We start from the raw sequence: 15,520 nt of genomic DNA on the forward strand, positions 1-15,520 counted from the left end.
GGAATTATCATTCTACTAACTAAAGTCTTAGCAATTATGAAGAAAAAGTGAGTGCTTCCATTATCTTCAGGCTGTAAGAGAGGGAAGAAGGGAATGAAGGAGGGAGGGAATGAGGGAGGGAAAGAGAGGAGGAAGGAAGAAGGAAAAAGGAAAAGTTAACTATGGTAAATTCCTGAAACAGTCATATTAAAGACTTATTCCCTGCCGAAAATACACAGAACCCATTAAGAAAGGGCTAACATTGGATTAAATACCTAAATGTAAAGGCTGGAAACTAGAAAACTTAGGGGAAAAGCTTCCCAACACTGGATTTTGCAATGACTTCTAGGATATGACACCAAAAGCACAGGCAACAAAAGCAAAATCAGACAAATATATTAATTACATCAAAATTTAAAATGTCTGCACAACACAGGAACCAACTGACAGAGTAAAAAGGAACAACACACAGAATGAGAGAACATATCTGCAAACCACATATATAATAAGGGGTTAATATCCAGAATATAAAGGAACTCCTACAAGCCAATAACAAAAAAAATAATAATAATAATCTGGTTAACAAATGGGAAAAGGACTTCAATAGACAATTCTCCAAAGATATACCAACAGCCAACAAACATGTGAAAAAATGCTCAACATCACTAATCATCACGGAAATGCAAATCAAAACCACAATGAGATATCACTTCATACCCATTAGGATGGCTACTGTAAAAGAAAACAAACCCACGATGGGCATAGTGGCTCATGCCACTTTGGGAGGCCAAGGTGGGAGGATCACTTGAGGCTAGGAGTTCAGGACCAGCCTGGGCAACACAGCAAGACCCCATCTTTACAAAAAAATACAAAAACTAGTGGGGTGTGATGGTGTATGCCTGTAGTCCCAGCTACTCGGGAGGCTGACAGGAGGATCGCCTCTCCAGGAGATGGAGGCTGCAGTGAGCTATGATCACATCACTGCACCCCAGCCTGGGTGACAGAGCAAGGCCTTGTCCAGAAAGAAGAGAAGAGAAAAAAATTGAAGTAACATCATAATTTCCAAAGTCAGTTTTCTTTTCCACTGTGTAATATTTAAACTCATTTGTTCATAGTCTCACAGCTGTATGGTAAATCGCTATGTAACAATTTCCTTTCAAACTGAAACCACATGGTCCTCATTCTTCTCCACAATAACAAACTGCCAAAGAAGCACAGTAAAAAAGCAGCACTCTACAGCATTCATTCAAGAGACTCACATGTGCAGATAAAATTAGGCCCTATATCTTGGAGGTCTCATTAATTTAACTCAAACATTTACTAAGTGCCAACTGTGTGCAGAGAATTAAGCTAGATGGCACTGGTGATGCAACGGATAGAACACGTCCTTGCCCTCATGAAGCTCATAACCAAAAGTACAGCCAGACTGAAAAACGCGGAAAAAGGGAAAGTGTTAGGAAACTGTTGGGGAGTAACACACATACAAATTCTGACCTAGTGAGTATAGAGAGACCACTTGGGGATGCTGGTGATAGACCTTAAAGAGCCTTGTGTTGAAAGGGTCTTGGAAACATGACAGAAAGAGGAAGGATATTCTGGACAGGAAGAATGCCTTTCACAAAAAGCTCAGAAGCAGGAAGGCAAATGTAAAATATGAATGATGTAGTATAGACAGAAGGTAAACTAAAGAAGTTAGGTGGGAAGTCAAATCATCATGGATTTTTAAAACTCGAAGCTACCAAGTGCGGATGGAGAGTCACCAGCTATCAAACCTGACAGTATACAGTGTGCACTACTTTTGAGGATTCTGAAAAGCAAAATGGAGATGTGGGGAAGACCAGAATTGAAAGTATCACCCAGCCATCTAAGAGATTACCACTTTCTCCCATTCAATACCACCAGCCAACCTGGAAATGGGCCCCACAGCACAGAGAAAGCTCTTCTAGTTGGGGCTTCAGGCATGTGAAAGGGAAATCCTAACAGCCAGAGAGAATATGGGGATCCCCCCACTTACCATCTCCTCCTTCTCTTGAGCCACAGTGCCCAGCAATCGTGTGCTTTGTCTGCAGCTATGGCTGAAATGAGAGTGCAGGAGCCAAACTCTGAGGCAGGAGAACTATCAATTTTTCCCAATCTCTATCCTTGGTCTCAAATGTGCAGGCAGTGGTGGAAAGACATGGCAGAGTGGAGTAACTAAATCCACAGTTTTCTGGACAAAAGAAAGAAAATATGAGCCCTTTGAGAACAAAAAGTGTGGGAAAAATTGCTGAGGAGAACTCAAGAAAGCAATTTCTAGGCTTACCCTTAGGCTGCATATGCATGGATCTGACGCTATTCCGTACCAAAGGTTTCCAAATTGGAACTAACGGAGAGACCACTATGCAGGTCTCAGATCAGCACATACATGAAACAGATGGAAACAGCACTACAAAACTCTAAACAATATACTGACATTAAAGCCACAGCCCACAGAACCTGTATACCAAACTTGGCAACACAACAAAACACTTTTGCTCTGGGAATAACTGTTTAGAAAATGAAAAGACAAGCTACAGAATGGGAGAAAATAATTGCAAATCACCTATTTGGCAAAGAACTTACATACCCAGAATATATAAAGAACTCTCAAAACTCAGTTGTCAGAAAACAAACCACCCAATTTAAAAATGAGCAAAAAATCTCAACAGACACTTTACTAAAGAAGATATACATACTGGTGTCCCACATTTCCGTGAGAAGCCTTTGCTACATACTGTCCAGTCAAAGATGTTTGTATATTGAACATCCTTACAAGAGAAAGATGATAGCTCCTTCCACAGCAGAAGACAATTTGTTAACTGTCCAGTACAGTAAATATAATGTCTCCCTTCATATCAAAGGTTTGAGACATTTGTTTGCCACCCCTTATGAGATCTGAGTTCCCTGAGCTTGGATTTCCTACTTGTGTCGTTGCCCACAGGGAATTTACAGGGCAAAGGTAGTCCACGTGGACATGAAGCTGGTTCTGCTGATGTCCTGTGACCTGTGTCCTCCTCTTTTGCCTCCAACCCAGGAGTTTCATGTCTTGGGCCAATATCCATGAAACCATGGAGACTAACTTGCTACATTTAAGTAGGGAGAACTCAAAATTCAGGTCCCTTGCAGTTATTGACATGGTGGCAAATAAGCATATGAATACTTGTTCAACATTGTTCAGTCATTAGAGAAATGCAAATTAAAACCACCATGAAATATCACTCAAATCTATTAGAATGGCTAAAATAGAAAATACTGACACAGCCTGGGCAACATGGCAAAACCCTGTTTCTACCAAAAAAAATACAAAAAAAATTAGGGAGCAATGGTGGTGCATGGTTGTGGTCGCGGCTACTCAGTAGTCTGAGGTGGGAGCATCACTTGAGCCTGGGAGGTGGAAGTTGCAGCAAGCCAAGATCACACCACTGCCCTCCAGCCTGGGAGACAGAGTGAGACCCCACCTCAGAAAAAAAATAAATACTGACAATACCAAGCGGTAGCAGGGATGCAGAGCAACTAAAACCCTCATACCTTCCTAGTGGAATGCAAAATAGTACAGACACTAGAGAAAACACTTTTATGGTTTCATAAAAATGTATACATACAATGACCATCCAACCATGCAATCCCTCTCCTGGGTATTTCCTCTAAAGAAATAAAAACTGCTATTTACTCAAAATTCGGTACTTAAACAGTTATAGTAGCAATATTTGTGATGACAAAAAAATGACAACTAAAATATCCTTCAATGGGTGAATGAATAAACAAACTATGGTGCCTCCATACAACAGAATGCTACTCAGGAAAACAACAACAACAACAGGTATTAGTACACCCAACAACTTCGATGAATCTCAGAGGCTTTATGCTGATAGAAGCCAGAATCTTAGTTCCTTCTGGCTGCAGTAACAAAATACCATAAACTGAGTAGGTTATAAAAAACAGAAATTTATTTCTCACAGTTCAGGAAGCTGGCAAGTTCAAGATCAAGAAGTCAACAGATGTTGGTGTCTGGTGGTTCACTGAAGGTACCTTCTCCCTGTGTCCTCACATGGCTAGGCTCTCTGCCGTCTCTTACAGGTGCACTAATCCCAATCATGAGGGCTCCACTTTCATGAACTAATCACCTCCCAAAGGCTCCACCTCCTAGTAGCATCACCTTGTGGTTTAGAATCTCAACATATGAATTTGGGGGACACACAAAGATTCAGACCATAGCAGTCATCTTAAAAGTTTACATACTGTATGATTCCATTTAGGAACTAGGGGTAGGAAAGAATGTGACTATAAAGGATTAGCATAAGAAAGTTTTTTGGGGTGATGAAACTGTTCTGTATTCTGATTGTGGAGGTGTTTACATAAATCTAATAAAATTAAAAAATTCGCAGAACATTATACTCCTCCCAAATCAATTTTACTCTATGATTAAAAAAAAAAAAAAAAAAAAAAACCTCGGCCAGGCATGGTGGCTCATGCCTATAATCCCAGCACTTTGGGAGGCCGAGGCAGGTGGATCACATGAGGGCAGGAGTTCAAGACCAGCCTGGCCAACATGGCAAAACCCCATCTAGTCTATTAAACATACAAAAATTAGCTGGGCATGGTGGCAGACATCTGTAATCTCAGCTACTCGGGAAGCTGAGACATGAGAATCGCATGAACCTGGGAGATGGAGGTTGCAGTGAGCCAAGATCATGCCATTGTGCTCCAGCCTGGGCAACAGAGGGAGACGCCATCTCAAAAAAAAAAAAAAAAAGAAGAAGAAACTTGAGAGGCAATTTCTAGGTTGGATTAGGGAGAAGTACAGAACAGGAGACACGGATACTGACCAAGAGACAACTACAATTAGAGGACTTGAGGTAACACAGTGGGTAGCCAGGCGTGGTGGCGCTTGCCTGTAATCCCAGGTACTCAAGAGGCTGAGGCACGAGAATCGCTTGGACCTGGGAGGCAGAGGCAGAGGCTGCAGTAAGCCGAGATCACACCACTGCACTCCAGCCTGGGCAACAGAGTGAAATCCTGTCTCAAAAATAAATAAATAAATAAGAGGTAACACAATGGGAAGGGAAAGATGACGGGTGGTAATCTACCTTAGAGGTCAGATCTGTAAGAGTTATTTAATGAGACCTCGCGGGGAGAGGGAAATCTAATTAGAAAGAACTCTCAAGTTCACTGTTTACTTCGTCTACAAGGTTAAAGCCTCCCATAGTCAGGATTTAGATCTAAGACACCAGCCATTTATAAATAGTAGATGAGGCTTAGGTAGAAACAAAGAAAATGAGAAGTAGAAAAAAAAAAAAGAAAAGAAAAATAGTCCTAAAATGTTAACCTGCAGAAACTTTAAAGACCATCTACTACGTCCTATTGTAAGAGATGAAGATATTAACATTAAGAAATCATAACTTATTCCATCAAAAAGATATTAAGTGGCAGAGACATCACTAAGCTTCCTTTTTTTTTTTTTTTTTTGGAACACAGGATGTGTCATTCAAGCTGGAGTGCAGTGGCGTGATCACAGCTCACTGCAGCCTTCACTTCCTGAGCTCAAGCAATACTCCCACCACTCAGCCACCATGCCTGGCTAATTGTTGTATTTTTTTGTAGAGGCGGTGTTTTGCCACGTTATCCAGGCTGGTCTTGAACTCCTGGGCTCAAGTAAGCCTACACTTAGTATACCAAGTCCTGGGTTTCAAATTATTTTGAAAGTCTGAGCTAATCTTCTCGCCATTATCATCCTGATGTCCCTTTTCTTCCCTTCCAAGAGAAATGAGCAAAAGGAAATACCTATTTTTTCCATAGATCAATTAAGTTTTTAAAATTTTGTACTACAAGTATGATAATACTAGTAGATGTTACTAAAATGAACATAATTTGGGGAGTCTGCCTAGCACATGTGCAAATATCTCCTGTGTATCAGGAAACTGTCCTCCGAATCCACAAAGATAAGCTGGCAGAAGCTATGTTTGTATAATTTGAATGGTCCCCCAATTCAGGGTCACAGCTGATTGCCCCAAACTGTGTCAGAGTCTTTTGCTTGGAGTTTTGCAAATGGGACTAAGTCGGGGCTGTTCTCTTGAATGATGGAGCTGTGTGACATGACCATCTTCCATCAAGTGGTCCAAGTATCAGGACAGTCCACAGAGTGAAATAGACATACGCCAAGAAGCAGAGAAAGGTAGAAGGTCCTGTACGTCCTGAGTGACTTCAATCTCCCAGTTCCAATCCCTGGCTAAGGTTTAGGTGCACGCCCACCCTCAGATTCTGAGTCATACACCCTGGTCCCCTAACTGCTTTTTTCTTTTTTTATCAAGCTAGTTCCAGTACAGCCTATTATCTATGCCAAAAGACTTGTACAGATGCTCTTTAAGAGCTAGAAAAAAAATAAAGGAGTGCTCTGTGGATTACTTGGCACACATTAAAAGCTCAGTATGAATTAGACAGAAACAATAACAATAGCTCCGAGTCTAAGAAGACTTATTTGGTGTGGACCATGAAATCACAGAGATCAGTCAAATCTGCACTCAAACCCCAGCTCTGCTACATACTAGAAATGTGACTTTAGGCAAACTATGTAATATTTCTGAAACTCCCTTTGCTATCTCCCTCTCCAGCCTCTCTGCTCCTATCATTCTCTATCTTTTCACCAAACTAAGCCTCATAGGACCTGTGCACCCATAACCTTCACTCTCTGGTGCTACAACTGTGATTATGTCACCTTACACTGCGAAAAAGACTTGGCAGATATAATTAAGTTGACTGATAATGGAAATAAGGAGATTATCCTAGATTATCTAGATGGGCCCAACAAAAGCACATGAACCCTAAAATGCAGAAGAGAACAAGGACCCAGAATGGCCAAAACAATCTTCAAAAAGAATGTAAGAAAACTTACATTTCCTGATTTCAAGTTACTACAAGGCCACAGTAATTACTACAGTGTGGTACTGGTACAAGGACAGTCATAGAAATCAATGGAATAGAATTGAGATTCCAGAAATAAACCCACACGTCTTCTGTCCACTGATTTTCCACAAAAGTACCAAGACCATTCAATGGAGAAAAAAGAGTCTTTTCAACAAATAGTGCTGGGAAAATTGGATAGCCACGTACAAAAGAACGATGTTAGATGTTAGATGCTTACTTCATACCATGTACAAAAATTAACTCAGAATCAATCAAAGACCTAAATGTAAAAGCTAAAACTAAAGCTCTCAGAAGAAAATATACAGGTAAAATTTTCACACTGGATTTGACAAAGGATTTTTAGATATGACACCAAAAGCAGGAGCAAAAAAAGACAGATAAATTGTACTCCAACAAAATTTTAATCTTTGTGCTTCAGAGGACCTTATCAAGTGAAAACAGAACCCACAGAATCAGAGAAAATATTTGCAAGTCATTTATGTAATAAGGAACTCGTAAACCAGAATACATAAAGAATTCTTATAACTCAATAATAAAAAGTAAGTAACAACTGTTTCAGCGGGTAAAAGATCTGAATGGACATTTCTCCAGAAAGAAAGGCAAACAGTCATGAGTATGTGAAAAGATGTTGCACATCATCAGTCATCAAGGAAATGCAAAACGAAACCACAATGAGATGCCACTTCACATCCAGTAGGGTGACTAGAACCAAAAAGTCAGAAATAACAAGTGTTGGCAAGGATGTGGGGAAACTGGAACCCTCATACATTGCTTGTAGAAATGTAAAATGGTACAGCCATTGTGGAGAAGTCTGGCAGTTTCTCAAATGATTAAACAATATTACCATAGAAACCAGCAATTTCACTCCTAGACTAAGAGAAATAAAAACGTGTCCAGAGAGAAACTTGTACATCAATGTTTGTATCAGCATTATCCGTAATAGTCCAAGAGCAGAAACAACCCAAATGTACATCAGATGATGAATTAATAAACAAAATGTGGTATATCCATAAAATGGAATATTACTTGGTCATAATAAGGAATGAAGTACTGATATATGCTACAACATGGTGAACCCTGAAAACATGCTAAGTGAGAGATGCCGGTTATAAAAGACCACCCGTTATATGATTCCATTCATCTGAACATCCATACCAGGGAAATCTAGAGACAGAAAATAGAGTGGTGGTCACTGAGCACTAAGAGGGGAGAGGATGGGAATAAAGGGGATAGAGAAAGGGCATGGGTTCCTTTTTGAGATGATGAAAATGTTCTAAAGTTGACTGCGGTAATGGTTGTTACTTAATTGTGCACTTTTAAAACGGAGAATTGTATAGTATGTGAATTACACCTCAATAAAGCTGTCTTTTTAAAAAACAGAAGAGACACAATGTGAAGTTAGAGTCAAAGCACTATTTATGGTTTTGAAGCTGGAGGAGACTAAAAGCCAAGAAATTTGAGTGGCTTCTAGAAGCTGAGAATGACTTCTGGCTGACAGCCAGCAAAGAAATGAGGACCTCAGACCTTCACCACATGAAAATGAATTCTGCCAACATGAGTGAGTCTGGAAGGAGACTCTCCCTATCACCTCCAAATAAAAACCCAGGCTGGCCGATGCTTAATTCTGACCTCCTGAGGTCCTCAGCAGAATACCCAGCGGAGCCTGCTTGGACCTCTAATCTACAGAACTTAAAGAGATAATAAATGAGTGCTATGGACTAGGGGCGATGGCTCATGCCTGTATTCCCGGTACTTAGGAAGGCTGAAGTAGGACGACTGATTAAGACTAGGAATTTGAGGTTGCAGCGAGCTATGACTGCACCACTGAACTCCAGCATGGGCAACAGAGACCTTGTCTTTTAAAAAAAATAAAAATAAAAAATAAATGAATGTTGTTTTAAACTGCTATCCTTTCCACTTCCCCCTTTGCTGGGAGAGCCTTTGCACATGCTGTTCCAATGTGAGGAATGCTATGCTCCTTGCTGTCCAGGTTGTGGTTTCTTTCTCATTGTTTAGATCTAAGCTTTCACATCAAACTGTGAGAGGCCTTCCCTAGCCTCTGTGAAATACTACCTACCCCAACCTACCCAACCCTCTCCTCTGTCCTGGGCCAAATGCCGCTTCTCCATGTCCTATTTCTTATTATTCTTTGGGAGGGGTAGAGGCGGGGTCTCACAACATAGCCCAGGCTGGTATTTAACTTCTTACAGATGTGAGCCACCATGCCTGAGCTTCATGTGCTATTTCTTTCTCTTTTCCCTTTTTTTTTTTTTTTTGAGACAGGGTCTCACTCTGTCACCTAGGCTGGAGAGCAGTGGTACGATCATGGGCTCACTGCACTCGACCTACCCAGGCTCAAGCGATCCTCTCACCTCAGCCTCTTGAGAAGCTGGGACTACCAGCATGTGGCACCACACCTGGCTAAGTTTTGAATTTTTTTGTAGAGACAGGGTTTCGCCATATTGACCAGGCTGATCTTGAATTCCTGGCCTCAAGTGATCCACCCACCTTGGCCTCCCAAAGTGCTGGAATTACAGGCATGAGCCACTACACCCAGCCTCCATGTCTTATTTCTAGTAAATATTTTTTATTTACTTATTTACCTGTTGGTCTGTCTCCCTCACTGCCAGAATGCAATTTAATGAGGACAGAGACCTTATTTTCCTTCTCCACTGTTACATTTCTAGTGACTCAAATAGTACCAGTGTGGTGTTATAATATATATTGACTTCTGTCCACGGTTCCTGGCTGGTAACTACCATAGCGCTCATATTAGGCATTTTTTTTTTTTTTGAGACAGTGTCTCACTCTGTTGCCCAAGCTGGAGTGCAATGGTAAGATCTCGGCTCTCTGCAACCTCTGCCTCCCGGGTTCAAGAGATTCTCCTGCCTCAGCCTCCCGAGTAACTGGTACTACAGGTACCTACCACCATGCCCAGCTATTTTTGTATTTTTAGTAGAGACGGGGTTTCACCATGTTGGCCAGGCTGCTCTCGAACTCTTGACCTCAAGTGATCCACCCACCTCTGCCTCCCAAAGTGCTGGGATTACAGGCGTGAGCCACCAGTCCCAGCCCCAGGCTTTTGTTACAAGGTTGGGTGTGTTAGGCCTCGTGGGCAGCTTCTCTGATTTTCTTCTGCCCTCCTTTCACCTGCCCCAAGGCAGGACTCTACTCCCCGTGCCTTTCTGATGACTGGTCTTAAACCCTCCTCAGGGAGGGGCCCGCTCTATACTCTCAGGGATGAATGCTGATGTCAGGAAACCTCCACAAAAACCCAAGAGCACTGGGCCCAAGAAGCTTTCAGATAGCTGAACACAGTGGAGGTTCCTGGAGGGTGTGCACCCAGGGAGAGCATGGAAGCTCGCATCTTCCCCCATTCTTCGCCCCCAGCATCTCCTTCCTCTGGATCCTTTGCAATATTTGTTGTAATAAACCGGAAAACAGAAGCATCTCCCTGAGTTCTGTAAACCACCTCAGCAAATTCATCGAACCTAAAAAGGGAGCCATGGGAACCCCAACTTGAAGCTGGTCAGTTAGAAGTCCTGGAGGCCCGGAGTTGCAACTGATGGGGGTTAGGAGGGGCAGTCATGAGGACTGAGTCCTCACCCTGTGCGATCTGACACTACCTCCTGGTAGATGGTGCAGGAAGTAAACTAGAAGACACCCAGCTGGTGTGGTGTGTAGGGGAAGAATCCCCACACATATGGTCACGGAAGTCTTCTGTGTTGATGATTACTGTGGCGTGAACAGAGGAAAAATACAGTTTGAGAATTGTTTTTCCCTACACAACCAAGCATATCATACGTTCTCAAATCTTTGTTGAAAGAATAACTGAATGAATAAGGTTACTGTAGAGACTATAGAATAACATGGCTATAGAGCAATGATACATACTAAATGCTTAATAAATACAAAAGTCCCTTCCCCCAGGGTCAGGTGCAATGGTTCACGCCTATAATCCCAGCACTTTGGGAGGCGAAGGTGGGAGGATGGCTTGGAGCCAAGCGTTCAAGACCAGCCTGGGCAACATAGCAAGACCCTGTCTCTATTATTTAAAAATGTTTAAAAATCTCTTCCCCTCATGAGTGATTAGCAATTACGTTAAAATTATACATGCTGGCCGGCCACGGTGGCTCACGCCTCTGATCCCAGCACTTTGGAAGGCTGAGGCGGGCAGATCACGAGGGCAAGAGTTGGATACCAGCCTGGCCAACACAGTGAAACCCCATCTCTACTAAAAATACAAAAATTAGCTGGGCATGGTGGTGCGTGCCTGTAGTCCCAGTTACTAGGGAGGCTGAGGCAGGAGAATCACTTGAACCCGGTAGGTGAAGGCTGTGGTGAGTCGAGGTCATGCCACTGCACTCCAGCCTGTGCAACAAAGCAAGACCCCATCTCAAAAAAGAAAAAAAATTATACATGCTCATCAACTTTACAAGGGAAAATAAACATCTATGGGATGGTTAAACAAACTGGGGCATGACCACACAAGAGAATACCGAACACTAAAAAGAACAAACTGTTAACACATGCAAAAGCCTGGATGCTCAAGAGCAAGATGCTGAGTTTTTTAAAAAGTCCATCTTAAAAGGTCACATACTCTAGGATTTATACTACCTTTCCAAATGACAAAACTACAGATATGGAGGACAAATTAGTGCTTTTTCCAGGTTAACAGTGGTGAAGGCAAGGGAGAGGAGGGGAAGGAAAATAGTATAAGCAGTTAACTCAGCAAGCTGAGTTGCTCAAATGATGCACATTCTCAGACGAGCCTGCTTCTGAGACTGGCCCTTGGTCAGCGCCTAGAAACTGAGGTCTTGTACTAGCCCTATGCCCTAAATGATAAGGGTGTTTTGTATGCTTACGGTACTGAACCACACTGTACCAGCTTCTCTAGATATTTTATGTGAACTGTATGATTTATGGTAAACACCTGCTTTCCTTCTGGAGTTGCTGTAATAGTGATCAGTCGCAAAGGAACTACATGCCTATGTGATATGGTCTGAATCTGTGTACCCACCCAAATGTCATGGTGAATCGAAATCCCCAATGTTGGAAGTGGGGCCTGTGAGAGGTGATCTGATCATGGGGCAGTTACTCATGAATGGTTTCACACCATCCCCTGTGGTTCTGTGCTTGTGAGATCTGGTTGTTTAAACGTGTGTAGCACCTTCTCTCTTGCTCCTGCTCCCACCAGGGGAGACACTTTGCTCCCCCTTTGCTTTCCACTATGATTGGAAGCTTCCTGACGCCTCCCTAGAAGCAGAAGCTGCAATGCTTCCTGTACAGCCTGTAGAACTGTGAGCTAATTAAACCTCCTTTCTTTATAAATTACTCAGTCTCAGGTATTTCTTTATAGCTATGTGAGAATGAACAAACTAATACACTATGTGACCCATCTCCAATAAAAGCCCTGGATTCTGAGGCTCATGTGAGCTTTCACAATAGAAAACACTTCACATGTGTTGCTAGAGTTTATGGCTGGGGAAGTAAGCACAAACTGGGCAACTCTACGGAGAGAAGACTCCGAATCTTCACAATGCTCGTGTCCTATAGAATCTTCTCAATGCACAACTACCCTTTATTAATCCTGCTTTGTATCCCCTCACTGTAACAAACCATAGCAAAGAATGTCCTGTGAGAGCCTTGAGCGAATTACGAAACCTGGGGGCAGCCCTGGGGACTGCTGACATAGGATGTGACTAAAAGGGCATAAGGGAGGTCTTTCGGGTAATGGAATAGTTCTGTATCTTGACTATGGTGGTGGCTACAGGAATCTATGTATGAGATAAAATGTGCATGACACTATACACATACATTGCACAAATATCAAATTCCTAGTTTCGACATTATATTATAGTTATGTAAGATGTAACCATTAAGCAAACCAGAAGAGTACACAGGACCTGTCTGTATTATCCTTACAGCTTCCTATGGATTTGACGTTATTAATTATTCCAAATTCTAAAGTTTTGTTAAAAATCACACATGAATGTTTTTTAATAAAAATAAACACCTATCATGGGACTAATGTGTATCAGTTAAACACAACACTCAGATCATTCTGCTGCTTCTAAGTATAAAAAGAGAGCAAGGGTACCACCAAAAGAGAGTGCCATCATTTGAAAGGCTATGTGGTGGTGCCGACAGCTGTTATGGTAGAAGGCAGGAGAGTCGGCACACCCAGATTGGACATCAGAGCTACAGACAGCATATCCTGTAAACACAGGAAGAAACATGGGGGATCGACTGCATGAGACTCAACTCTTTCCTGGGCAGACAGACCTGTCCCTAGACAGGTAACCACCACCAGCACTGCTTCCAGGAGGGAGCTCCAAGGGGCCACATGCCACTCCTGTTTGAGCACTGCACTCCAATAAATAGGAGCTTGATTGAGCAACCTGGGCATAAAGAATGCACGATTCAATTGGTCCCACTTATGTCAGGGAAGACAGAGTAAAAATGATCTCTGCTGCTGGGACAGTTAGGATTCTATAAATTGTGCCCCAGGGCTAGGATTTATTCTAGGTCCAGGTACCTACAAAGACCAGAGAGGTACAAAGCTTACTTACAAAGCTCACAGAACTATTAGTGTTCTTTCTTAAGACTCTGGATGCAAACCAGTTTCATCTCAGAAAAGCAAAACCAAAACACTTTACAGATGTGAGTAGTTTCCCTCTATCCTTGAGCGGGCCCTGCTTCCTATTCTTGGGTTCAATGTCATGCCCTCAGAGGTCATTCCTATCTCCAGACAACTCATCTGGGACTTACAGGAAACATCCAATCAATTCCAGCAAAATGATAAGCTATCCATTGACCTCAATTAAGAAATAAAACTTACAGGTGATTTTTTTCCCTTAAATTTGTTTTTTTTTTCTAGTTGAAGCAAAGAATACTCATTATTTACAAAACCTGATATATATAGACAAGTAGAAAAAAAAGTTTTAGTCATAGAGTCACTGTATATGGTACATATTCTTATAGTGTTCCCTTGCACTCATTCAACAAATATTTATATACTGATTGATTACTGAATGACAGGCACTTAGGACACAAATATAAGTAAAAATAAATCATTTCAGTCCTTGTGGAGCTTACCGTGTAATATAAGAAATATGACTGTATATCTGGAAGGCCTAAAGAAAATAAAACACTGTTACTGCTGAGAAATTAACTTTAAAATGGCTAACTTTCATAAAAGAATTCATATTTATGTGAAATAAGCTAAATAGGTACACGAAATCTGTGGAACTCTTGTAACAGACAAACAATAACAAGTTAGAAAGTATAAAAAGAGATATCAGTCAAAATAGCATGAATATGTAAAGACTTATAGAAAATATTTTAATGAGAAAATTATAATCCACATGGAAACACTGAGATATACTTAACGCAATGTGCGAAAATAAAATCTTATAACCATGTCAAACATTCCAAAATGTGTAAGTTTACTACAAATGGCAATAAAAATCCCACAAGACTTTCTGGAACTCAACAAAATGATTCTGTCAGCAAAAATAAACACTAAATTATTTTTTGATTTTCTAAATTAATTTTCTGAATTTTTATTTGCAAACTAGTTAGAAGACTGTGAACTCAAGAACAGACCTGTCAAACCACTACAGGACAGACTGACTCAAAAATGAATCTAATCTAATCTAATCTAATATAAGGTAATTTAATGTTAGAAGAAGGAGGGGAAGGGGAAATTTTCAATAGTGTTGTAATAACTGGTCAGCAATCTGATACCCCCTACATTAATTACAGGTATCTTTAAAAAGTTAAAAGTTTGTAGAAACAAACAGAAAATAGAAAGAACTAAAATGAAGTATTCATGAAAGTTCTAAAGAGGTGAGGGTTATCTAAGTTTACAAACTGCAGGGAAAGTCAAAATGGAAACAAAACTTAAAATACATAAACTGAAACATCTAGCTGGTTCTTGATAGGCTATCTGTAGCCAAAACATAAAAGCAAATAAGGGACTAGAAAAAAAATCTGAAGTAAACAGGACAATGAAGTATTTTATTAAATTCAGAAATAGTACTAACAAAATTTATAAACCTTTGATAGCCAAGCAGGACAAGGTTATGAGCAGATCATGACCTTGAGCAGACCGCAAAATGTGAGCAGTTTGCTAGAAACAGAAACGGAATGCCAAAGGGTATGTGCATTTAAAATTCTGACATATACCAAACTGGTCTGACAAAAAGGCTATACCATTTACATTCCCACCTACAGTGTATGAGGGAATCTGGTCTCCCATAACCTCATAAGCATAGCATTATCGAACTTTAATTTTTGTCAGTCTGACAGGCAAACAAAAAAAATTCATTTAACGTGCTTTTCCCTAAGGTTAGCCACCTTTACAGATATTTATTGGCACTAGTATAATTTCTTTGAATAAATTAACTGTCTTTGCTCAGTTTTCTATGTCATTACTGTTTTCTTTCGATTTATAGGTACTCTTCTTAAATATTTTTCAGTCCTCAACTTGATGGTATGAAGACACCGTAATTCTAATAAAAGACTTATTAGCATTTGCAATCTGTAATCCAAGTTTCACCAACTTTCATATGATTAAATACAATGCTTCCAAAATGAA

The 15,520-nt window shown here is 40.9% G+C and overlaps 1 annotated feature.

Annotated features, from left to right (window-relative positions):
• Positions 11,748-11,948: a silencer, noted in NCBI's record as "peak6547 fragment used in MPRA reporter construct". NCBI's record gives its function as "represses an SCP1 promoter by STARR-seq MPRAs in K562 erythroleukemia cells {active_cell/tissue: K562}" and the evidence as "EXISTENCE:reporter gene assay evidence [ECO:0000049][PMID:32103011]".

Source organism: Homo sapiens, chromosome 7 (genome assembly GCF_000001405.40).
Source record: "Homo sapiens chromosome 7, GRCh38.p14 Primary Assembly".
Lineage (NCBI taxonomy): Eukaryota > Metazoa > Chordata > Mammalia > Primates > Hominidae > Homo > Homo sapiens.